Source organism: Homo sapiens, chromosome 1, assembly GCF_000001405.40.
Source record: "Homo sapiens chromosome 1, GRCh38.p14 Primary Assembly".
Taxonomy (NCBI): domain Eukaryota; kingdom Metazoa; phylum Chordata; class Mammalia; order Primates; family Hominidae; genus Homo; species Homo sapiens.
Genome location: NC_000001.11, coordinates 10859916 through 10885871, shown reverse-complemented (window position 1 = coordinate 10885871; position 25956 = coordinate 10859916). Strand labels below are relative to the sequence as shown.

The window sequence follows — 25956 nt, the reverse complement described above, 5'->3', positions numbered from 1 at the left end:
CCAGGCTGGAGTGGTGCAGTGACGTGATCTCGGCTCACTGCAAGCTCCGCCTTCTGGGTTCACGCCATTCTCCTGCCCCAACCTCCCAAGTAGTTGGGACTACAGGTGCCCGCCACCATGCCCGGCTAATTTTTTGTATATGTAGTAGAGATGGAGTTTCACCGTGTTAGTCAGGATGGTCTCGATCTCCTGACCTCGTGATCCACCCGCCTCAGCCTCCCAAAGTGCTGGGATTACAGGCATCAGCCATGGCGCCCGGCAATTATCTTTTATATAAATGACATCACACCACATGTGTTGTTCTGACTTGCTTCTTTGCCCTTGACAGCATGTTTTGCAGATCTTTCCATGATATTTACAGATTTTCATAGATCTACCTCACTATTTTTAGTAGCTGTTCAGGGTTCCTCGGTGTGGCAATGCTATACGTATTTATCCTATCTCTGATTGATAGACATTTATGGTTTTTTAAACATATTTTCTATTACAAAAAGGCAAAGTAACAAACATCCTTACATACATCTTTGCCCACCCAAACAAGTCTTTCTGGAAAAGAGAGCCCTAGAAGTGGAATTCCCGGGTCAAATGTTTAAATTCAATGGATATTAACAAATTGTTCTGGCCAGGCGCGGTGGCTCACACCTGCAATCCTAGCACTTTAGGAGGCCAAGGAGGGCAGATTGCTTGAGCTCAGGAGTTCAGGATCAGCCTGAGCAACATGGCCAAACCCCATCTCTACAGAAAAAAAAAATTAGCTAGGCGTAATGACACGCACCTGTAGTCCCAGTTACTTAGGAGGCTGAGGCAGGAGGATGGCTTGAGCCCGGGAGGTTGAGGCTGCAGTAAGCCAAGATCACGTCACTGCATTTCAGCCTGGATGACAGAATGAGACCCTGTCTCCAAAAGAATAAAAAAATAAAAAATCAAGCTAGGCTTGGTGGCTCATGCCTGTAATCCTAGCACTTTGGGAGGTTGAGGTGGGCAGATCACCTGTGGTCAGGAGTTCGAGACCAGCCTGGCCAACATGGTGAAACCTGGTCCCTATTAAAAATAGAAAAATTAGCCGGACATGGTGGTGCACACCTGTAATCCCAGCTACTTGGGAGGCTGAGGCATGAGAATTGCTTGAACTTGGGAGGCGGAGGTTGCAGTGAGCCAAGATGGTACCACTGCACTCCAGCCTGGGCGACAGAGCAGATTCTGTCTCAAAAAAATAAAAATAGAAAAAACAAACAAACAAACAAATTGTTCTCCAAAAGTTAACTCGTGTAGCCCTTCACCAGCATTGTATGATAGTGCCCGTTTCATTGCATTTTTACCAATACTAGATATTAATAGATCTTATTATTTTTTCCAATTTGTCAGGCAAAAACAAAATGATGCCATTGTTTTAACTTTCATTCATCTGATTACTAATAAATGTGAATTATTTTTCATATGCTTATTTGCCATTTTCATTTTATCTTCTGTGAAATGTGTTTATGTCTTTAGTCCATTTCCTAATGTTTTTCTATATTCTAGGTACAAATCATTTTTCTCATAGCCTGCTGCTGGTGTTTTGTCACATAGAAATGTTAAATATTGACGTCATAAAAGAATGTAACACTTTTTTTCCTCCTGGCTCCTGGATTGTGTCTTGTTTTTCCTGCCCGAGTTTGTGAAAATATTTTCCTCTAATGTTTTTATAAAACATTATATAAAACATTTCTTTTAAAAAAAATGAAATGGAGAGCCAGATGTGGTGACACACATGTATAGTTCCAGCTACTCGGGAGCAGGAGGATCTCTTGAGCCCAAAGTTTGAGGCTGCAGTGTGTGATGATCATGCCCATGAATAGCCACTCCAGCCTGGGCAACACAGTGAGATTCCATCTCTAAAAAAATTAAATGAATTAAAGGATTTATTACAGGGACAGAATGTAAGCTGGCCTTAAACAACAACGACAAAAAAGAAATGGAGAGATATATTTTAGATGAGATGACAATATTGAAATAAGTCTTCTTAATAAATGGAATGTAATCTCAATGAAGTTTCCAACATAAATGTTTATCAAACATGATAGTTCATTTGTAGAGTTCATATAAAAAAAGGAAATGGGCCGGGCACAGTGGCTCATGCCTATAATCCTAGCATTTTGGGAAGCCGAGGCGAGAGGATAGCTTGAGCTCAGGATTTCAAGACCAGCCTGGGCAACAACATAGTGAGACCTCATTTCTACCAAATAATAATAAATAAATAAATAAATAAAATAAAAAATTAGCCAGATGTGGTGGTGCACACCTGTAGACCAAGCTACTTGGGAGGCTGAGGTGGGAGGATTGCTTGAGCCTGGGAGGTTGCAGTGAGCTGTGATCCTGCCACTGCACTCCAGCCTGAGCAACAAAGTGAGACCCTCTCTCAAAAAAAAAAAAAAAGAGAAGAGGGGCTGGGTGAGGTGGCTCACGCCTGTAATCCCAACACTTTGGAAGGCCGAGGGTGGCAGATCAGCTGAGGTCAGGAGTTTGAGACCAGCCTGGCCAACACAGCGAAACCCCGTCTCTACTAAAAATACAAAAATTAGCCAGATATGGTGGTGGGTGCCTGTAATCCCAGCTACTCAGGAGGCTGAGGCATGAGAATTGCTTGAACCCGGGAGGCAGAGGTTGTGGTGAGCTAAGATCGAACCACTGAGACACTCAGTGTCAAAAAAAAAAAAAAAAAAGAGAGAAGAAAATACATAATAATATTGAAAACAATTTTTTGAAGGAGAAGAGCCCTAACAGTTGGCAAAACACTGTAGACTCATAATAATCCAAACAGTGCAGTATTAGAATGAGATTAGATAAATTGATCAATGGATGGGAACTAGTCCATGTTTACATGAAAGATTAGTTTATGATAAAGGTGACATTTCAAATAAGCAGAATTTCATAAATGGTCTTGGTCCAAATGGCTATCCATTTACAGGGGACTGATTTTTTCATTTGTCCATCATGTATGTTTGAACGCATAACATCTGCCAAGCATCATCCATGTGGACACTGGGGTGGGACAGCGAATGAAACAGACAAAAGCATAAAAAATTTCTGACCTTGCCAGGCGCTGTGGCTCATGCCTGTAATCCCAGCACTTTGGGAAGCCAAGGCGGGTGGATCACGACGTCAGGAGATCAAGACCATCCTGGCCAAAATGGTGAAACCCCGTCTCTACTAAAAATACAAAAATTAGCTGGGTGTGGTGGCACATGCCCGTAATCTCAGCTACTCTGGAGGCTGAGGCAGGAGAATCGTTGGAACCTGGGAGTCAGAGGTTGCAGTGAGCCAAGACCGCGCCACCGCACTCCAGCCTGGCGACAGAGCGAGACTCTGTCTCAAAATAAATAAATAAATAAAAATTAAAAAATTTAAAAAACTCTGACCTCATGGAGTGGGGCGGTAGTGAGTCTCCCATAAAAATCATCAACAACAACAAATACATAAATGATGTAATATATTAGAAAGTTATGAGTGCTGCAGAGAGAAATAAAAGAGGGGGCAGGAATGTGGGGAGAGAAATGGCAATGTTTATAAGGAAGACCTTGTAGATAGCTGTGGGAAAGGCCAGAACAGACAGTGCAAAGGCCCGGAGGCAGGAACACGTCTGTTTTTCTGGGCTACTATTTTTTAAGCTCTAATATGTGGACTTGAACTTTCATGCTAAGGGACATGGAAGGTATTGGAGGGTTGTGAGCAGAGGTGTGACAGGAGCCTATTTATTTATTTATTTTGAGGCAGGCTTACCTCTGTCGCCCACACTGGAGTGCAATGGTGCAATCTCAGCTCACTGCAACCTTTGCCTCCTGGGTTCAAGCAATTCTGGTATCTCAGCCACCTGAATACCTGGGATTACAGGCCCTCACCACCATGCCTGGCTAATTTTTGTAGTTTAGTACAGATGGAGTGGAGGGGTTGGGTGTTTTCACCATGTTGGCCAGGCTGGTCTCGAACTCTTGGCCTCAAGTGATCCACCCATCTCGGCCTGTAAGGTGGTTTACAGGCGTGACCCACCTCACCGGTGCCCAGTGCAGCAATCAGTTTAGACTTTAACTGGACCACTCTGGGATCTGGGTGGAGCACAGATTATAGGGGCAAGGGCAAGAGTGGACGTGGAGAGACCAGGGAGGAGGCGATTGCAGGTATCCAGAGGGGAGGTGTTGGTGGCGTGGGCCATAGCGGCAGCAGTGGAGGAGGTGGGAAGTGGTCGCATTCTGCATGTATTTTGGGTTTTTTGTTTGTTTGTTTGTTTGAGTCAGAGTTTCACTCTTGTCGCCCAGGCTGGAATGCAATGGGGCAATCCTGGCTCACTGCAACCTCCACTTCCCGGGTTCAAGTGATTCTCCTGCGTCAGCCTCCTGCGTAGCTGGAATTACAGGCACCTGTCACCACTCTGAGCTAACTTTTGTATTTTTAGTGGAGACAGGGTTTCACCATGTTGGCCAGGCTGGTCTTGAACTCCTGACCTCAGGAGATCCACCCGCCTGGGCCTCCCAAGGTGCTGGGATTACAGGCATGAGCCACCGTGCACAGCCTCTGGGTGTATTTTGAATCTAGAGCAGCAATCATGGAAATTGGATGGGGGGGTGGGTGGTGGAGGAAAGATCAGGAGCTCAGCTTTGGAGGTTGGCGTCTGAGATGCCTATTAGACTGCCAAGAGGAGATGCGGAGTAGGAGTGAGTACACGTGCCTCCAGATCTGAGAAGACGGAGCTGGGCTGAAGATGACGCCAATAGAATGGTCAAGATAGATTCTGTTGCCGCTCAATACAGCAGCTGCCAGCCACGGGTGGTTACCAAGCTCTTGAACTGCCGCTAGACTGATTGAGATGTGCCGTCAGATGTAAAATACAAGTCAGATTTCAAAGGCTTAGGATGAAAAAAAGCAAAATGGCTCCTTAGTGATTTTATATATTGATCACAAGTTGAAACGATAATATTTTGGATATATTGTACTCGGTCAGAGTATTTGAATTCATTTCTCTTTTCAAAAATGTGACTACCAAAAAAATTTTAAATTGCGTGGAGGTTTGCATTCTGTTTTTATTGCACAGCAACTGGCCTAGATGGTGGTTAAAGCTATAGCAGGGCTGAGTGTGGTGGCTCACACTTGTAATCCCAGCACTTTGGGAGGCCAAGGTGGGAGGATCACTTGACTCCAGGAGTTCAAGACCAGCTGGGGCAACATGGCAACACCCTGTCTCTACAAAAAATTAAAACATTAGCCGGGTGTGGTGGTACATGCTTGTGGTCCCAGCCACTCAGGAGGCTGAAACAGGGGGATCGCTTTAGCCCGGGAGGTGGAGGCTACAGTGAGCCATGATCATGCCACTGCACTCCAGCCTGGGTGACAAAGTGAGACCCTGTCTCAAAAAAAAAAAAAAGCTATTATGAGCAGGATGGATGGTCACCCTGTGGGTGAGTACAGTAGAGGAGAGGCCCCCAGGATGAGCTCTCCAAGGTGAAGAAGGGGAAGAAGGGCAGCAAAGGAGGCAAAAAGGAGCAGCCAGGGGAGTCAGAGGAAAGGCAGGAGCCTGCAGTCTAGGAAACCAAGATAAGAGAGCATCTAGGAGGAGGGAGAGGCCCTCAGCCACAAAGGCTGCTGAGAGGCTGAGACCATTGGAATGAGCCGCTTCGAGGTCACGGTTGCAGAGCGCGTTTCACTTACATCATATTCTCCAGCTCCTATGATGCTCAGGTGCTGGAGGCGCCGCAATGAACAAGGAGATGTGGCTCCTGCCCTTCCAGGGCTCATGATGCCAAGGGGCAGCAGTGTCCCCAATAATGAGCTGCCAGTCACCTGAGAGGAAAAGAAAAGGAGGAGAGGGCAGAAATCAGGGAAGGCCAGAAGGTATGGAGGCCATGTCCTGAGGGCTCAGAAAAGGTCTCAGCCACATTATGTAAACCAACATCCCGGGGACCTCAACCCCCAACCTCACCCCCAACACACACCCCGGGCAAGGGGTGCGGCAAGCCAGGGAGAAACCAATACAACCTGCTCAGGGCTTTACAGTGCTAGAGAGTCCTCCTGGCACTCCTAGAAGGTGGCCAGGTTTCAAACCCAGGGCTCCATGTCCCCAGAGTCCGTGTTCCTAACTACTCTGCTTGCTGCCCTGATGTCCGCAAGGGCACGGTCACGTCCACTTGTGACACAGGTAGTTACAACAGGCTCTTGTTTTTGTTTGTTTGTTTGTTTGTTTGTTTGAGGTGGAGTCTCGCTCTGTTGCCGAAGCTGGAATGCAATGGCACGATCTCAGCTCACTGCAACCTCCACCTCCTGGGTTCAAGCGATTCTCCTGCCTCAGCCTCCTAAGTAGCTGGGATTACAGGCGTGCACCACCACACCCAGCTAATTTTTGTATATATATATTTTTAAGCAGAGACAGGGTTTCACCATGTTGGCCAGGCTGGTCTCGAACTCCTAACCTCATGATCCACCAACCTCGGCCTCCCAAAGTGCTGGGATTACAGGCGTGAGCTACTGCATCCAGCCTGTTTTGTTTTTTGAGACAGTCTCACTCTGTTGCCCAGGCTGATTGCAGTGGTGCAATCGCTGCTCACTGTAGCCTCGACCTCCCTAGACTCAGCTGATCCTTGCACTTCAGCCTCTAGAGGAGTTGGGACCACAGGCGTGCTCTAGCATGCCCGGCTAATTTTTGTTTTTTGTTTTTTTTTAATAGAGATGAGGTCTCGCCGTGTTGCCCAGGTTGGTCTTGAACTCCTGGGCTCGAGTGATCTGCCTGCCTGGGCCTCCCAAAGTACTGAGATTACAGGCATAAGCCACTTCGCCCAGCCCAGGCTCTTCTTTTTGACAGCGGGAGCTCTTGGGCTGAGAGTCCCACATTCTGGGTCTGCAGCCGGCTCCCAGCACTGCAGCACTTATTTGCCCAGCTACTTTAGGTGAGTCCCTTCAGCCTTAGTTTGCACATCTGCAAAATGGAACCCCTGAAATGGAGCCACGATGCATTAGCAACCACACCACACTACCAATTACAGGCAGAGTTAGGCTGGGAGGTGCAAGCTAGCCTATGCCCCTTGCATGCTTTGGAACTCATTTCCTAGGGAGGAACTAGCCTGAGCTCACTTGACAACAGGGAGGGAGGGCGATGGGGCAGGTGCAGCCTCTGATCCCTCCCTGGCCTGTGTCCTCCAGAGCTCTGAGCCCTGTTCCCAGTGCCCCTGAAGGTCAGGCACCCCTTCTGACTTGGCTGCCCCCTCCTGCCTCTGACTGTCCCCTCCGCACTGGATAAACAGCGCCTCCGCCCGCCTGCCTCCCCGTTCCCTCACGCTTCACCAGAATTAAATTCATCATTCATTTTTTATGGCTTATACATAGTGTAATTTATGTTTTCAAATATATTAAGGTCACACTTTAGCAGAAAAAAAGTATTTCACATTGAAATTGAAGGCACGGGTGTTCCATTAAATGGGGATGTTTGGGATAATTTTAAAAGGCTAAAAGTAGTAGAAAGTAACATTAAAATAAAATTTGAGAGATGTAATTACCCCTAATCGCACCATAAAATAATCAATACTGCATTCCATTATTTCTGACTTCCCTAGTTATAGCTTTTTTTGTTAAGCTCTTGAATATTGATGAGGTGAAAGGGTCGTGTCTTCTGGCGGAGGTCTGATGGAGGTGGAATTAAGGTGGCGTCCTCTCCGATTATCCCAGGGACCCTGTGAGCACTGTTCTTTGTAGCTACAGATCCCAGGGGGCGGCACCAGGCTCCCCAGTCTCCTGTCTGTCAGGCAACCCAGCTCCTCTGAACCCAGGGTCTGGTGGGAGGCCAGCGTGAGGCCATGAGTGGAGGTCACGTGAGTTCACTTGAGCTACATTCTAGGATCACTTTCTGTGTGCCACGCTCTGTGTAAGCATCGTAGATGCATCAACTCAAGTGACTCTTAAAGCAACCCTCTGCAGGGGGTGTTGGCAAGACTCCTCATTTGCCAGGTGGGCACAGCTGAGGCCCAGGAACATAAAAGAAGTTAGTTACTAAGGAGCAGAGTAGGGATTTGTACCCTCATCTGGGCTCTTGCCACAATCTATGTCACCTCCCCAAGTTGTCCGGCCTCTGGCTTGGGGGTGGCCTGAGGGATGGCGATCCCAGCAGAAGGTTGCAGGGGTGCTAAAACCCCCTGGTAGAAGATGACTCAGTGCTGGCCTTGAGGACAGTTGTCCCAGGCCACAGTGGTGCATAGCTAGCAGGAAAACCTCTGGTTCCTTTTAGAGACAGCTGAGAATATCTGTTCCTCTCCTACATTTTATGCAACGAATTCACTTCTCTGGGCCTTCATGATCTCATCTGTACAATGGGGATAACAATACAGCGCCCCTCACTATGTTGCGTGGCTGAAGGATGCTCTAGTGCCCACCCTCCCAAGCACATGGGAAGCGCCGGGCAACGGTACCTATTGAGGCATTGGTGATGCCGCCGCTTATGACGAGGTCACTTCTTTTCCCTGGCCTGTTTCCCCATCTCTAAAACACCCCTGGGTGGGCACTTGAATGGAACAGCAGCAAAGCCTGGCCTCTCTCTGATGTTCTGTCCTCTATGATCTATGCACAGAGGTTCTGCCCTGCGCCTTTATGGTAGCCCATGGTGAGCAGGGTCCTCAGAAGGTCACTTCCTCCAGCCCCCACCCTCCAGGCAAGGTCACACATCTAAGGGCACTCCCAGCCCCTCCTCCTTCTGCCTCAAGAAGCCTTCACTGGCCAGGCCCAGTGGCTCACACCTGTAATCCCAGCACTTCGGGAGGCCGAGGCAGGAGGATCTTTTGAGGTCAGGAGTTCAAGACCAGCCTGGCCAACATGGTGAATCCCCGCCTCTACTAAAAATACAAAAAATTAGCCGGGCATGGTGGCAGGCACCTGTAGTCCCAGCTACTCAGGAGGCTGAGGTGGGAGAATCACTTGAACATGGGAGGCAGAGGTTGCAGGGAGCCGAGATCGTACCATTGCACTCCAGCCTGGGTGACAGAGCGAGACTTCGTCTCAAAAAAAAAAAGAAACCAGGAGTTTGAGACCAGCCTTGGCAACAAAACAATTCCCCCACTCAGCACTGGGACCTGAGGAAGGGCCTATGGGAGCCCCCCTACCTAAGGAGGGCATCAAGCTGATCATTGTCATACCCAGCATATCTGGGTGTCTTTACACCTACTATTTGATATCTGTGCACCAGAATCTAGACATCTCCCTGCCTGGAGCCTGGATAACCACATGCTCGAAATCTGGACACCTCACAGCAGTGCTGTTCACAACAGCCAAGAGGAGGATACAACCAGAATATCCATCAGTGGGAGGCTGGATAAACAAAATGTGGTCCATCCATGCAACGGAATACTCTTCAGCCACGCAGAACAAGGGATGGAGTGGATCCATGCCACAACCCGGACGAACCCTGAAACCATGAAGCTGAAAGGCAGAGGCCAGAAACGAAAGACCGCATATCGGATGATTCCATTTATATGAAATATTCAAAATAGGCAAATCCGTGGAGACAGAAAGTAGATTAGTGGCTGTCAGGGATGCGGGGGATGGGAAAATGGGGAGTGATCGCTTAATGGGTATGAGGTTTCCTTTTGGGGTGATGAAAAAGTTCTGGAATTAGATAGTTGCATAACATTGCCAGTGTACTCAATGCCACTGAAATGTACACTTTAAAATGGTTTACACTGGTAAATTTTATGTTCTGTGTATGTTACCACAATAAAAAAGAAGTTTAAAGTCTGGGCACAGCCTGGGCAACATGGAGAAACCCCATCTCTACAGTTTTTTTTTTTTTTTTTTGAGATGGAATTTCACTCTTGTTGCCCAGGCTGGAGTGCAATGGCGCAATCTCAGTTTACCGCAACCTCCGCCTCCAGGGTTCAAGTGATTCTCCTGCCTCAGCCTCCCAAGTAGTTGGGATTATAAGCATGCACCACCATGCCTGGCTAACTTTGTATTTTTAGTAGAGACGGAGTTTCTCCATGTTGGTCAGTGTTGTCTTGAACTCCAGACCTCAGGCGATTTGCCCGCCTCAGCCTCCCAAAGTGCTGGGATTACAGGCGTGAGCCACCGTGCCCAGCCTGCAAAAAATTTTGAAAATTAGCCGGGTGTGGTGGTGAACGCCTGTGGTCCCAGCTACTTGGGAGGCTGAGGTAGGAGGATGGCTTGAGTCTCGGAGATCGAGGCTGCAGTGAGCCGTGATAACACCACCGCACTACAGCCTGGAGCAAGCCCCTGTCTCAAAGAAAAACAAACAAACAAACAAACACAACAAAGAGAAAGTCTGGATACCCCCCCGGCCTCATCCCATGCCTCAAGCCCAGCCCAGACTCCATGCAGGGCTCTTGGTGCGGCCGCTCAGGCCCCAGCACATAGCAAGCCCAGGACGATGGGCTGAGGAGCAGCCCCGTGTCATTGCTGTGAATAGTAAACAACGATAGAGTGTATTTTTAAAGTTTTCCCTAATGCAGATTCCCAAGCAGCAACCAGGACACTCTGATTACCCACCGGCTCCCTCAAGATAATGACACACGAGCGGAGTGGGCCACGGGGGTCCCTGAAGGACAAGTCTTCAACTTGGAAAGTACAGGCTTCTTGAGGCAGGAGGAAGAGGGGCTGGGAGCGTCCTTCAGATGTGTGACCCTACTTGGAGGGCCGGGGCCGGAGGAGGTGATCTTCTGAGGCCCTTCTCCCCGTGGGCTACCACAAAGGCACATGGGCTGGACGCTCCCTGGTATCTGGGTAGTGTCTGTCACCTCTCACCCCTTCCCTGCCAGCTCCACTTCCAGCCGTCCCCAGATGTACCAGGGACAAGAGCACAGGGAAGGTCTTCCGCATCGTCAAAGTCCTTGCCAATGTTCTGACTCAGTTTACCCAGCAGGTTCCCTTTCTTGCCCTGCTCCCTGAAGGCTGGGCTTAGGGATGTGGGATGGGGACACCGGGCCCACTGTCATCAGAGCAGAACCGGCAATGCCGGCATCAGTGTGCATTCTGGTGGCGGGGGGCCAGCAGCAGCCTGCACTCCCCTCTGATGTGTCTCACATGGGACCTGACTACTCAGACCTGACATGCTCAAGGTCTCCCAGCAAAGAGGCCACAGAGTGGGAGCTTGAACTCCCGGCAGATGGTCCACATTTGCTCTCACGTCTCAAGCTGGTACTCAGTAATGGCAGAACAGAGCAGGTGCCAACTCAGACCCTGGAGTCAGACAGTCCTTCCCCTGGGGAACCTCAGGCCAGGCAAGTCACTAACTAACCCCCAAGGCCTCCGCTTCCCCATCTGTAACTGGGCTGGGGAGGATTGTGGAGACCACGCATGTGATGTCTCAGTCTCAGCACTGTGCTGAGGAAATGGTGACCATTATTCCAAAGATGAGGCCAAGTCCCAGGTCTGGGTGGCCTCACCCTATCCCAACCTCCCTGGGTCCCACCTGGCTACCTGGCCAGGACTGGCCAGAGTTCCCCGCCCCACTGCGTTAGGAGGCTGGTCTCTGACACCATGAGGCCCAGCCCAATACTGGCCACTTGTGATGGAGCACTCACTCACACGCTTTGCCAAATAATCTCTAAGCAGCCCTGGGAGAGAGAGACTGTTGTCCTCACTGTACAGATGAGGAGACTGAGGTCCCAAGACGCGGAGGACTTGCTGCATGTGGGATTCAAAAGTGGTTTTCCCTGATCCAAGAGCTGTTGCTTTCAAACACCACGCAATGACCGAATTGGGGTGGGGGCTGCCATGGTGTAGAGTGGTGCCCCTGCAATTATGCAATTCCTGCAGGGAACACATTTGTCTGGAGTAGGGGGTACAGCTCATCAAATTTTCTTTTTCTTTGTTTTTTTTTAGATGGGGTCTCGCTCTGTCACCCAGCCTGGAGTGCAGTGCCACGATCTCGGCTCACTGCAACCTCCGCCTCCCAGGTTCAAGTGATTTTCCTCTCTCAGCCTCCTGAGTAGCTGGGATTACAGGTGTGGGCTACCATGCTTGGCTAATTTTTGTATTTTTAGTAGAGATGGGGTTTCACCATGTTGGTCAGGCTGGTCTCAAACTCCTGACCTCAAGTGATCTGCCCACCCTGGCCTCCCAAAGTGCCAGGATTATAGGCATCAGCCATGGCTCCTGGCTTCATCAGATTTTCAAAGGGATCAGAAGCAGATCTCTGTTTAGGTCCCAGCTCCTGTAGTGATTGACTCTGCAGCCCTGGGCAAGTCACTTCCTCCACTGTGCCTTAGTTTCTCCATGTTTCAAATGGGGGGTTAGACTGGAAAATCTCTAAGGTCCCTCTAAGCACTGACATTTGCTCATTCTAGTATTCTCTCCTCCACGCTGCCTCCTCATCCTAGCCCTGGCCTCCTTGACATAGCGTTGCAAACAGCCACAGGCCCAGGCCAGCAACCAGACTGGGGGCATGTCAGGGAGAAGAAGAAGGCTGACACCCAATCAGGGAGAAGAAGGAGGCTGACACCCAATCAGGGAGAAGAAGGAGGCTGTCACCCAATCAGCGAGAAGAAGGAGGCTGACACCCAAGAGCTTGGGGCTGGGCTTACTCTACTTCGCTTCCCCAACGTTCCCCTGTTCCTATTCTCCCCTGAGGTCAAAGAGGGCCCCAGCCAGACCCCGTCCAGGGGCCCCTGATCCCCTCCAGACCCAGTGACCCCTGAGCCAGCTGCAGCCCACCCATCTGGTGAGATGTAATTGGTTTCAATTGACAACCATAACAAGAAGGCTCTTTTAGGAAACTTCAGAAATGGAAGGGAGGCCATTAGGAAATTTACATTTGCGAATATGATGTTTAATTAGCAATACCAATAAATTAATAGGAGAATCTTGCTGCGGTTCTGGGTTCATAAAACACCAGCCTCAATCAGCAGAGGAGGAACGCAGCCCGAGGCAGCCTGAGGGGAGGGGACGGGGACAGGAGCACTCCAGGTTGCAGCTCCTCACAGGGACCCTGGGCCCATGCCCCACACCCCTGCCCCAGCCCCTCCCTTGATGGAGTGTGGGGCAAAATGAAGCCAGCATGGACCGTGGAATTAGGAAGATCTCGGTGAGTATTCTGGTTCAGCCACTTATTCCCTGGAGAGGCCACTCAGCTTCTGAGCCTCCATGTCCTTATCTGTCAAATGGGGACAGTGATCATAGTACCCACCTCATAGGGTTGTTGTGAAGATTAAAGCAATTAATATGGGTAAAAACACCTGGAACAGAAAGAAGCTGGCACAAAGTAAGTGTTAAGTTATTAGGCAGCGGCTGCTCCCACGATTACTATTATTAATGGGGTGATGAATGGGAAGCCCCTGCCGAGGAGGAAGGACCTGGTAAACACTAGGGTGTTACTGGCTTTGAATTTTTCTTTCCCAAGCCTAATCCTCTCCTCTGGACTCCTGGCCACCTGGAGGGGTCATCCTGATGGCTCTTACCACCCGATCTTGCCCTGGCCTGGGGCTCTGACTGTTTTCCCCTTGGAGTTATGGCTGGTGATTTGACTGCAGAGGCCATGGCTAGCTCATTGTTATATCCCCAAACACATTTATAAACAAACATGAGATACCCACTTCTGGCAGGTGCTTCCGCAGCTTGCAGACCATCCATAGCTCCCAGTTGATCTCAGGACTTTGCTCAGGCCCCTCCTCAGTGCTGCCCCATGGCTGCCTGGGATCCAGCTACCTCATCTTCCACCTCTGGGGCCTAAGGCACCATCTTCTGCCACAATGCTGGGCCTTTCCCGCTCCCCAAGTGTGCCAGCTCCCTCCTGCATTTAGGCCTTTGCATATGGCGGAGCTGGTCTTGGAGTGTCCTCCTCTGACTGATAAACTTCTGCTTCTTCTCCAAGGCCCAGCCTTACCAAGCCCCCTCTGACTCCAAGCCAAGAATCAGAGTCAGCTCAGGGGGACTGGGACCCAGGAGGCCTTAGTCATCAGACCTCCTCCTCCTCCTTTTCCATGCCACGACTGCTGTGCCCAACACTATAACAGGGTCTCGCTGGTCCCTTTGAAGAAGCTGGTACATGGCCGGGCGTGGTGGCTCATGCCTGTAATCCCAGCACTTTGGGAAGCCAAGGAGGGTGGACAAACTGAGGTCAGGAGTTCAAAACCAGCCATGGTCAACGTGGTGAAACCCCGTCTCTACTAAAAATACAAAAATTAGCCAGGTGTGGTGGCGCATGCCTGTAATCCCAGCTACTTGGGAGGCTGAGGCAGGAGAATCTTTTGATCCCAGGAGGTGGAAGCTGTAGTGAACCGAGATCACGGCATTGCATTCCAGCCTGGGTGACAGAGTGAGACTCTGCATCACAAAAAAAAAAAAAAAAAAGAAAAAAAGAAAAAGAAAAGAAAAGGCTGGGCACGGTGGCTCAGGCCCGTAATCCCAGCACTTTGGGAGGCTGAGGAGGGCAGATCACGAGGTCAGGAGATCAAGACCATCCTGGCTAACACAGTGAAACCCTGTCTCTAATAAAAATACAAAAAAATTAGCCAGGCATGGTGGCAGGTGCCTGTAGTCCCAGCTACTCGGGAGGCTGAGATAGGAGAATGGCGTGAATCCGGGAGGCGGAGCTTGCAGTGAGCCAAGATTGTGCCACTGCGCTCCAGCCTGGGCAATAGATCGAGACTCCGTCTCAGAAAAAAGAAAAGAAAAGAAAAGAAAAAAGGCTGCAACATGACCCGGAACTGTCCTCTGTAGGCTCAGAGCACTCACCTTCTATAGGTCCCAGAAGACCTGCTCAGTGCCTCCTCCCAAGAAACCCCCGCCCCCAGCCATTTCCCCAGCCTCTGCCCTCTCATCTGTCTTGGTTCCTTCCTCCCCACCATGTTTCCTCATTGCGTTATAATAATTTGGTTGCTGGCTGACTCTTTCCTTGAGTCTTGGCTCCTCGGCACTGGGCCATCCATCTCTTGCCCTCTCCAGGAACAGAGTCTGCTCTGCCTAAATGGATGAATAAAGAAATGAATAAATCAGGGAGTGGATTTAAATGTTGCCTCCTCCAAGAAGTCCTCCCTGACTTTCCCAGCTCTTTTTTATAACCATTGCATGTATTTATTGTCTGTCTCTCCACCAGATTGTCAGCTCTTCTAAGGCAAGGACCTTGTCGTTTTATTTACCACTGCTTCCTGGCACCTGTCCTGGAGCTTGTCACGTGACTATGCTAACAAGTATTCCCTGGATAAGTGAATGAATGAATGAGTAAATGAATATCCAAATGAATGAAGGACTGAGTGAATGAATCAATGACTGACTGGATGAATGAATGAATGAGCAAACGACAGAAAGAATGAATGGATTTGATCATGAATGATGATGGAAAGGGCTCAGCTTCTCCTGAGCCTTGGTCCCACCAAGATCTTGTTTCCTCAACTGTTTATTAAGTTGTATAAAGTGCATAGAAAACATGACAATAATTCAAGCAGATACAACAACAGGTAATTAATTGCATTTCCAAAATTTGATCCATGCACATGAATGAATGGGAGGTCATAGATTCAGTGGAGGAGGAGCCCCCATGCTCTCCAGGGAACAGAGGTGGGAGGGTCTTTGCAGAGTGGAGCTCTCAGAGGTTGATCCCTGGGGAGGTTCTGTCCTCCCCACTACCCTCTTTGCTTGGCCCTAGCTCCCAGTGAGAAGGGGTGTTTAAGGAGGGACTATACAGGGATGGCCAAGGAGGGGTTGCCCCAGGAGCTCACAACCATAGAAAGTCTGTGGTGGTGATTTCCACGAGGTGGGGAGAGATGACTAGTAGCTCAGCACAGAGCAGGAGAATGGGTCCCCAACCCAAATCCACCAACTGCATGAGGAGGCCCTGGATGCTTGCTTTAAAAATGCAGAACTTCCAATCCCTGCCTGGATGCTCTGGGCATAGAGATCTGAGTGGGATCTGTGTCTATATTTTAAACAAGCTCCCCAGGCTTGTTTAAAGTTCTGAAAACTTTGCTGGCTAACCTCAGGTAGCCCCTCAGGTCCTAGGCTCAGAACTACCCTCTCTCCTCCCTAACCCCCTCTCAAGAAAAAGAGTCTACCCTGCACCCAGGAGCACCAGGGGCAGGACAGAGTCTGGATTGGAGGACAGCTGTCCTGGAGTCCAGGATGATGGGAGAGGCAGAGACACCTCCCCACTCCAGCCGTAGCAGTGTGACATTAGTTACCACGGCCAGAAGCAGCTTTGGTGACAAGGGACAGTTGGGGGGGTGAGGTCCCTCTAGGCCCCAGCACAGAGAACTGAGTTTCAGCTCAGAGTTCTGCTGGGAAAATGTCATCTCCTCCAGGAAGGCTTCTGAGCCTCCAGGCTGAACTGAATACTCCTGTGTCTGGCTCCTAAAAGGCAAGGAGCCCACCTGTCTCCCCCAGCTCTCATTTCACGCATTCTACGGAAAAGTGAGCATCCTCCCTCCCCTTTAAGAGAGCTGGGGCTGAATCTGGCCCAATGCTGGCTCCAGAGCCTGTACAGCCAAGGTGGGCACTGCTGATGACAAGTGTAGCTGGCAGGCGTGAGACCACCCGAGTGGGCACTGGGCCCCCATCATATCCTTTGGTCTACCCAGAGGGCATCTGCAGCTTCTACTGACAGTTCCCGTCACTCCAACTCAAGTTCCCCAAGGACATCTCTCTGGCCATAGGAGCAAGCTTGGCCCCCTGTGACTTTCAACCAATGACAGATGACAGTTAGTGGATAAATAAGTACCTCCTCCCCGCTCCCAACACCTCTTGGGACAGTCTGGAGCGGAGATCCGCAGGCTCTGCAGGGTCCCCAGGTGAGCTGAGGACCGGCCACCCACACAGGAACTGGCCTGTGACACGGCTTCCTGCATTTTGCCTCCCCTCTCTCTTACCGTTTTCTTTGGGGATCACGCCCAAATAAAGGAGGGGTGAGACCCCCAACTTACTAACAAGAATTATCTTAGCAGACAGAATTATCTTGGGCCGTCCTGCGGGACTCTACACATCCCTCCTCTCTTCTGGCCCATGCACCCCCCTGGGACACAGGTAGAGTTTTTATTTCCAGTTTACAGATGAAGGAACAGAGAGGTAAGACTCCTTGGTCAAGGTAACAGAGCCAAGCAAAAGGCACATAGGGGCTGGAATCCAGGCCTCGCCTGAAGGAGCAAGATTCCAGGGCAAAGGTTGCTAATGGTTGTCAGATATCATCACCTTAAACCGTTGTTTCCTTAAGAGCCAAACGATTTGGGAAACTCTTGTGGGAACCACGTGTTTGCATGTGTGGCCCACTTCATGCATTTGCCTTGCCAGTCTAGGCCCAGGGCAATTGAGTTTGCAACTCATTTTTAGTGACGCAGACCAACTGCTGCTCCAATGGGGAGGGCTTGTAGCCCAGCGCAAGGTTTGAATCTGATCTCCTGGACATGGGGTCCGGGACACAAAGCAGCGTCTGGGTGGGGGGATGGAGTTCCTCTGCCCAGCTCCACGCCTCTTGGCTCATCTCTGAGCAGCTGTGTGATCTTTGGCCCATGGCCGCACCTCTCTGGGCCTTGCTTTCCTCATCTGTAATATGGGGCTTGCAATCTGAATGTGTGGAGTGTTGCTGGGACGAGAGATCTCAACACGAGCCAGCATCTCAGCAGATGCTCAACAAATGGCCCTGGGTCCCCAGCCCCTGTGATGGTTGTTTCTGCCTTCTGGCTTATTAAGGCTGGGCAGGGAGTCAGGGCACAGCAGGAACCACGGGGGATGGAAGGGGGGTGTCATTAGAATCTGTTCTCAGTGAGGAGAGGCCATGAGGCCGAGAGGCTGGCCCAGCTCCCCAGGGGCCTGCGTGATTGGGAGCTAAAGCAGCTGCCTGAAAGAGGCCTCTGCTCTCCTCATTACCTGCCTGTTAGCAGGACTGGCAGGCTTGAAGAACAGGCGACTGCGTGCAGGCTGATCCCCAGAGAACACAGGCATCTTAGGGGACACTCCAAGCCCGGCGGGGGCCTGCTCTTGGTCATCGCTCCCCCCACCGTGTCCTCTACCACCCAAGCAGATCGTCTGCAGCCAAGAAGATCCAATCCTCCCACCAAGAAGACCCCAGGAAGACACTTCCCGGACCCTTATTCTAAAACCACACAGACCCATCTATACACAGTGGGCTTTCCCGTATTTCATTTGAACTTAAAAAAAAAAGCCTTCATATCTCAACGTTGTAAATATTCTGCAGAAACTTGGAAACTCTTATGAAATTGTTTGTACTCATTTTTATAAACGAATGAAATCTCCTTCTCTGCTCTGTCCTTCCGAGCCTGTCCTTCTCTGAGGCTGCAAGTCCTGGTCCAGAAGCCCTGGGGTGAGGGTGAGACGGAATGGGGGGGTCCTGGTCCCCACTGCACCGCGAACCCGGGAGCACAAGAAGGGGCTCTGGCTTGGGCTCTGTGCAGCCTCCCCCGCCTCCCCAAACTCATTCCTCGGTCTTGGCGTGAGTAGGAGGCTGCTCCCCTGACGTGGAGGGTGGGGGAGGAGGGCCTGGCCGGGTCGGGGTTGAGGCGGGGATAGAGGCAGGAGCTCCCTCCCGGGTGGGCAGGGACACGTGCGGGTCCTGGGTCCGGCCGGGTTCGGGCGCGGCGGGGCCGTCCCCGCGCCGCCCGCGGCCGCCGGTAGGGGGCGCCTTGGTCATGCATTATTCATCGCCGGCGCCCGCCCGCCCGCGCCTCCCTCACGGCCCCCGCGCGGGCTGCGGGCTGCGCCGCGGAGCGGGAGCGCGGAGCCTTCACAATATTGTGGCAGCTCCGCGAGTGACGGATCCGGGGAGGCGGGGGCGCGCAGCCTCGAGCGGCTGCGGGGGCGGCGGGGGTTGGGAGGGGTCCCGGGGTGGGGGCGAGGCTGGGTCACCCGGCCTCGAAGCGGGCTCAGGCGGGGGGCTGGCCGAGCGGAGGGCGGAGGCTGCAGCGTCCGTCTGTCCGTCCTCCATCGAGTCAGCTGGGGCAGAGGGAGCATTGGCTCAGCGTGAGGGGCGGGGGATGTGATGGGGAGCAAGGTAGGCGCGGCCCCATCGTTCTCAAACTTACATTCAAAGGTTGCGGGGGTGGGATGCCGATCCAAAGCATGTAAACAGACAAGGAAGATAATTCCAGGCGAGCGCTCTGCAGAAAATAAAACTCGGCTGGGGCTGTTCGGATGGCCAGGGAGGTGACGTTTGTGCAGAGACACTACTGGCAAAGAGGGGCCTGACCTTGGCCAGTCCCTGGGCCACTGGAGTTTCTCTCTGCCCGGCCCCTGGCCTTCTAAAGGTGCTGTAAAAGTCAGCACCCCAAAACCTACACACATCCTGAGAAGCAAGGAGGAGGGTCTTGGGGAGACCCTGCTGCGGGCTGAGGCCCTGAGATGGGGTTCCTGCCCAGCCTTCTTCTGGTTACAGCAGCCAGTAAGCTCTGGGGCCCTGGGCACTGGACATCAGAAGGGTCAGGTTCAAGGTGCCCCCCCTCCCCACTCCTGCACGGGGCGCTGGGCTGGGGAAACTTGGGATCCTGGAGTCTGAGCAGCTCAGCCCCTGGTGGGGGGCTTGGTCCCTCGGCCTCCCAGCCCTCAGCTCCAGGGCCGGGGCTGGTGGGGGGGCAGGTGGGGGGGCAGGTTGGGGGGCAGGTGGAGGGCGTGGGCTCAGGGTCACAAGCATCGGATTTCCTTTCACTTGTACAAAGACTCATTGACGCCTGAGCACATCAATATCCTTAATGACAGTGAGAGGAGCTGGGACTCCAGACGGCCCAGCCCGAGCCCCCCACCCCGCCTCCGCCTCTCCTGTCCTCTCCCCTCCCGGCTCACTCTTCCTTCCTCCTTCTCTCCTGATTCATGTCCCCTCTCTCCTTCTCACTCTCTCTCTCCTTGTTCCGTTCCTCTCCCCTCTCTCTCCCTCACTCCTGCTTGCCTCTCTCCTTTCCTCTCCCCTCCTCTCCCTTGGGTCCTGGTATCTTTCCTCTTCTTTTCTTTCTTTCCTTTTTCTCTCAGCTGTCTCCTCTCCTCTCTTCTCTCCCCTCCCCTCCTTTCCTTCTTCTCTCCCCATTCCCAGGACCTCACAGCTCTTGGGCATTCACAAACTTTCACCCAGCGAGCTGGAGGCTCCAGTGGGCAGCCCCTCTGTCTGTCTGTCTGTCTGTCTGTCTGTCTGTCTGTCTGTCCTGGCCAAGGCAGGCTTACACAGTGGGGCCCTGGGAGAGGCTGCTCCGCTCTCAATCCCGCAACCGCGGTCCCGGAGGGCCCTGGGCTTCTGCCTTTCCCGCGGGCCCCAGGCTACTCTGGGAAATGAAAATGGCAAGTTTGGGTGCGGGGCACCATGGGTGAGGAGAGAGTTTTGGGGAGGATTTTCTGTTTTGTATTTTTTATGACCATATATAATTTCGCATTTCTCCCCTCAGCCTCTGCCTCCTTGGCTCCCAGATGTGTCCCACATTGAAGAATTATCTCTCCTCCCTAGAGTGAAATAAATGCAATCAATATGAGTATTGCTCTCAGGGCCTTGAAATATTACATTAATGTTCCATGTGGTGACATTTTAGCTGGAATTTTCAAATACATTATGATGGTTCAAATTAATATTTATCAGATCAGCTTTTATATTTTGCAAAAGAGAGAGAGAGGGAGAGAGGGAGAGAGAGAAAAGGAAAGACAGAGAGAGCATTATTAAAATACGAAATGCAGATCAAGTCTAAAATCGATGGTCCATTTTCCCAGCACTTTCCAGGGGCTGTCTTTAGCTTTCTGGGTTTGTTTTTAAATTTATTGGTGTTTCAGGCAAATCTATTGGGCTCCCTCGGCCCCCTGGTCCTTCTCCCCTCCCTGCTCCCCTTGCAGGCTACAGGCCCCTTCCTTTTCTGTCTTTCTCTCTTTATTATCCTGAAATGTAAATTACGACATTAGCCCGGTCCTTATTTTTTTTTTAAACTCTCCGATGATTAAATCTGCTACACGACATCCTTGTCCTTTCGATAAATTAAATCATCTTGGCTTTGCACCTCCAGCTCAGAGAGGATGCCACATGGGTGTTGAGGCAGCGGGCAGCTCTGGCTGAGGGCTGGGGTCCTTGTCCCCTCCTGGAGCGGACACTGGGGGCCTTTGTGTAGGGCAGAGGGGACGCCTTCCTAGCTCCTTGTGTTTCTGTAAATAAGAAATGGGGACTGGAGGGAGGAGGTGATGGCAATCATACATTCCACTTTATTTCAGTCTCTTCCAAACTGATTACTCTATGAAGTGGAAAATCCAGGCAGATTAATGGTTTAATTCTCTTTTCTCTTTTCTTTTGCTTTCCCCCCACTCTGCCTCCTATTTTGTTTTTTTCTCTCTCTCTCTTCTTTTTGCATCTTTTTTTCCCTTCTTGGAGCTGTATTCAAGAAAAGACTCAGGAGCTTAGGGGAGATGCACACAGAGGTGAACGTGGTTCTCAGAGGAAGGACAGCAGGTCCAGCTAGGAGATGTTCCCAGCCCCACCCCAGCTCTGTCTGGAAGCTCTGCAAGGGTTAACAATGCCCGCTCCAGCCCTTAACTTTTTCTCTTTGGTGATTTTCTGTTTTCTCTCTCCTCGAGTTCTGGGCGAGAGTTTGAACTGGAGCAAGTGTTTATCGTCAGGTGCACAAAGGTACACACACACACACACACACACACACAACTGCAGATCCCACACGCGCACACGCAAACACGCACACAAATACAGCAATATAGACACTCTGAGAAGATCTCCATAAAGCGAGCTGCCCTCCTGATTTCTCTCCGCTGCTGATCTGGCCAAAAGAACGACAGGAAACTTAAAAGAGAAAAGGAGGAGGGATCGATTATTCGACCTGTACTTGAACCCGACTGAAAGAGATAAAGCGGAATTTTCAATAGGTCCCCTGCCCTTTTCACCAGGAGGGAAAGAGGAGAAGAAAAACAAGAGATATTTATATGACAGCAGCTGCTGAAAATAGCATTTCAGTGCCATAAAAAAAGGCAAAAAGAAATTCAATGGTAGAAAAGGCAAGAAACTCCTCGTCTGCTCCCCAAAAGGCAAAGCAGGCAGTGAGTGTCCCTGGCTGGAAATGCATGCATGCGTTCTATAGATCTGTTTGAAATTATACTTGTCATTGAGGGGGAATTTATGCTTCTATTGATCTGCAAAAGGAAAATATTAAATGGTTTGGTTTTGATCTTTCGGTGACCCCAAGGTCAAGGGTAGTAGCAGATTAGTATTCATAGAATTCATCACGGAATTGCAGCCTGCATCCACTTTATGCAAACATGCTCAAAACACGTCTGGTGAAGCAGGCAGCAAATGGCCAATGACAGGGAAAAAGCCAACAGCACCCCCTCCCACCCCGAGGGGCTCTCCCTCTTTCAACCCCTCCGGGAGAAAAGGAAACAGCAGAGGGCTGTTGTTGGATGGATGATGGCAGACACCCCCCCGACTCTCGTGGGCCTGCACAAAAGGTGGGGTGCCCAGGTCGGGGCAAGTACACCAGGAGTTCAGAAGAACATCCTTGATGGTGTGAGCAGAAAGATCCAGGGATCAGGCTGGGGACCCGGGTGGACAGTGAGGGGCTCGTGTACCTGCAGCAAGACATCACTGGGGGAGCAATGAGGAGACAGGCGCACACACACACACACACACACACACACGTGCACACATTCAGCCAGTGGAAGCCTGGGTCTTTCCTGAAGGGGGGAACGTGGAGCACTCTCCCAGGGTGACATTGTTTCTCGTTCCACGCTAAGGAGCATCTTTCGTGTGAGGCGCCCAGGTGCCCAGCCGGGAAGGAGACAGGCCAGACGCGGCGCACATGCCTCCCAGAGCCCCCAAGTTCTTCCTGCTCTCCCTCCCTCAGTGGCCACGGGGCCCGAGTTCAAATGTGTGTGCAAAAAGGACACACGAGGAGCCCCCGAGACAGGCTGCAAACCCCCTCCTGCCTCGGTTCAGCATACAAGTGCCCTCTTAGCAGATTCTGTCCCCAATGTGGGAACATTTGGTCAGTAACAGAGTCACTTGCCAACGCACTAAAAATAACCCACCAAGCATATCCCTGCAATGGCAGGAATTCTGGCTGGCCCTTGTTCTGCCCGCTGATCAGGGGGCCAGTGGGGGCACAGATCCCCACTCCCACTGGGGGCTGGGGAGGGGGGAGAGGGGGCAGACTTGGGGGATGAGGGTCTCCTTCTCGGGTGACTGGTCCTCTGTGCTTAACCTGCATTATTCTTGCATTTAACACTCACAACATCCCTACTAGGCAGGGGTCGTTAACGTCCCATTGTATAGATGAGAACACCGAGGCTCAGAGAGGTGAGGTCACCAGCTTTAGGTCTCAGCTCTGTCCTGACACTCACGTCTGCTCTCTAAACTGCTGTGCTTCCTGACACTTGCCCTTCACAATTTAGGTGAATTCCAGGAAGGGTCCACATTTCAGCTGCGGACGGAAGGGAGTTTGGGATAAGGATAGGGGCTTGGAGGCCTTGGGGGGCTGGGGGCTGTGGGGAGGGAGAGCTAGAGTGGCCCCAGCTCTGCCTCCTCAGCCCTGCTAAGGAGGACAGTGTTCTGCCTATTAATCATGTTTCATTTATATTAGCTTGACTCGATCTACTGTATATTTGAAATGGATTTAATTTTAGATCACGCACTATGGAAGGGGGCCAGTTTGGTGTAAGGAGCATTATGAATATTTTCCATAAGCTGGATATACATTATCCAGGGACAGATATATGAGCAGCAGCACAGGGCTCCTGGCTGGGGGAAGGGAGCTGCTCTCTCCTCCCTTCCCCCGACTCCCCTGAATCCCAGGGTCACAGGGCTTTGGAGGGACCCATCTTGACACCCTGCCCCTGTGGGTGTGGTGGGCTGTCAGCCCCATCTTTCCCCTGCCTGTGACCTCATCCCCATTGACCTCAAAGCCGCCGCTTCTCCCAGCTCCTTGCCGACTGGCAGGCCTGAGAGATGTGTGCAAGGTGGGAGGGGCCCAGGACCGCACCAGATCCCAGGGCCAGGGGACACTGGCCTGACCTGCTCTGATTCCCCAGAGCTGTGGGAGGCACAGGGCATAGCCTGAGATACAGACCAGGGGGTGGGACTTGGAGGAGAAAGGCATCAGAACACCCACCTTCAACCCTAAGCTCTGATGGAGGAGGAAGCCAGGTTCTCGCTGGCAAGCTGATGGGTGGCACCTTCCAGCTCAGCCAAGCAGCAGTGGACAGGCTACACCTTCCCGAGAGCCCCCAGGCCTGGGCTGGGATGCCCCTTTCCTGGGGGCTGGCCGTGGGCCTGAGTCCTGAGGTCTTGTCCCTGACAGAGGGCATTAAAGCTAGAAGGCCCCTCTTGAGACAGCCTGTGACTCCAGACTCAAGCTGGGGAAACTGAGGCCCAGAGAGGATAAGGGTCTTGCTTAGGGTCGCAGAGTGAGCAGGGAAGGTGCACATAGGCACTTACTTGCCTAATGTTTTCGTGCTGTAACGTGCTTCCCTTGTTGGTTCTCCTCTGAGCCTCACACTGGCCCTGCCCCCTGAGGAAACTGACACTCATGGTGGTCGAAGGAGAAGCCCGTGGACGCACACTCACACTCACACTGGGGAACAGCAGAACTGAGTGTCAGAGGCCTGCTCCGCAGCTCTGTGTGAGCCACGTGTGGCATCGGACTTTACGGACAGAGGAAACCATAGCTTAGGAAGGTGATGACATTCATATCCACACCTAAACCTTTTCTCTTCCTGCACCTCAAATCTGTGCCCCCATTCCATTTCCTTATCTAGATAAGTGGCTCCACCATCTCCCAAGCTGCACATGACCCAAATCCGGCTTTCATCCCTGCCGCCACCTCTTCTCCCCCGCCACCATCACCACGACTGATCAGTCTTCCCGTAACTGACCCTCTCTGGTCTGCCTGCTTTTCTCCTTCACCCCCATCTCCTTTACCCAGGCTGCCACTGTCTCTCCCAGCCCACCGCATGGGCCTCCTGGAGTGTCCACAGAGTCTCTGCCAACTCCAGTCTGTTCCCTGCACCGTGGCCAGAGGACCTTGTTTAAACACAGCACAGTCACATTGCACACTCCTCCTCTTGGCATTCCTAGGACCAAATCCTGAATCCGGACGCTGGACAAGAAGGCTCGCCAGAGAGTGACTCCTGCCCAGTTCCCCAGAGTCACACCCTCCTCCCGCCTCTCCACCTCCAGGGTCAGCTTCCATGCCTTTCCAGCTCTTTACCTGCCGTGCGCCGTGACCCTCCACTCCAGGACCTCGGCACACACTGGTCTCTCGACCTGGACCTCTGCCCCCTTGCTCTGTACCTGGGGGTTGAAGGGTTTACTCCTCTGCAACCTGCAAGCTCTGTTTTGACTATTCCAGGGAGGCTCTCTGATCACACCTACCCTTCCCCACCCAAGTCTAGCTCAAGACCTACTTCTGCCTTTTGCAAACCCTGCAGCCGTAAGGGGATAGCTGGGGATGAACTCTCCACACCCAGCCGCTTTGGAAAAGCGCTGGGCCTGGAGCGGACAGGTATCAGCTGCTATTCCGTCCTCCCCACTACGGGCACATCCATCAGCTCCTCCGTCGGCGCAGAGTATAATACACCCGTCACCCACCCCAGCCTGGGCTGGCAGCCTTTCAGAAGTGGCATGCAACGTTTCTCTTATTCATTCTTAATTTAAGGTTTTGTGAGTTGTAATAACCCCCCTTCCCCCCAAATCACTGGGGATGGGGACCTCCGTGTCAGCCCCGGGCCAGGAGAGCTGAAGGGTAATTGCATTGCACATATGCTAATGGTTGTCTGGAGAAGACAATGGCAACAGGGGGCCTGGGATGGGGCCTATCTCAGTACCTAGAGTACCTGAGGGTGGGGGAGTGTGGGCTGGGTTTGGGGGACTGGTGTTGCAAGCCAGATGGGGGCATTGAGGGCTTGTGTGCTCCGCAGTCCGTAGTAGAGAAGATGAGAGAGGCTGGGAGTCCCAGTCTAGGGGGCTTTACTGGAGACAGATGCCCTGGAAAGGGCCTGAAAAACCCCTTTCTTCCTCCAACTCCTCCTGTCCCA

At 51.8% G+C, this 25956-nt stretch overlaps 4 annotated features.

The window, feature by feature from the left end:
- Nucleotides 17137-18008: an enhancer, noted in NCBI's record as "H3K4me1 hESC enhancer chr1:10927921-10928792 (GRCh37/hg19 assembly coordinates)". NCBI's record gives its function as "activates a minimal SCP1, AML or CMV promoter by ChIP-STARR-seq in primed H9 embryonic stem cells {active_cell/tissue: H9 hESC(primed)}" and the evidence as "EXISTENCE:reporter gene assay evidence [ECO:0000049][PMID:30033119]".
- Nucleotides 18498-18727: a silencer, noted in NCBI's record as "silent region_254". NCBI's record gives its function as "represses an Ori minimal core promoter by ATAC-STARR-seq in GM12878 lymphoblastoid cells {active_cell/tissue: GM12878}" and the evidence as "EXISTENCE:reporter gene assay evidence [ECO:0000049][PMID:35858748]".
- Nucleotides 23941-24442: an enhancer, noted in NCBI's record as "H3K4me1 hESC enhancer chr1:10921487-10921988 (GRCh37/hg19 assembly coordinates)". NCBI's record gives its function as "activates a minimal SCP1, AML or CMV promoter by ChIP-STARR-seq in primed H9 embryonic stem cells {active_cell/tissue: H9 hESC(primed)}" and the evidence as "EXISTENCE:reporter gene assay evidence [ECO:0000049][PMID:30033119]".
- Nucleotides 24822-25322: an enhancer, noted in NCBI's record as "H3K4me1 hESC enhancer chr1:10920607-10921107 (GRCh37/hg19 assembly coordinates)". NCBI's record gives its function as "activates a minimal SCP1, AML or CMV promoter by ChIP-STARR-seq in naive H9 embryonic stem cells {active_cell/tissue: H9 hESC(naive)}" and the evidence as "EXISTENCE:reporter gene assay evidence [ECO:0000049][PMID:30033119]".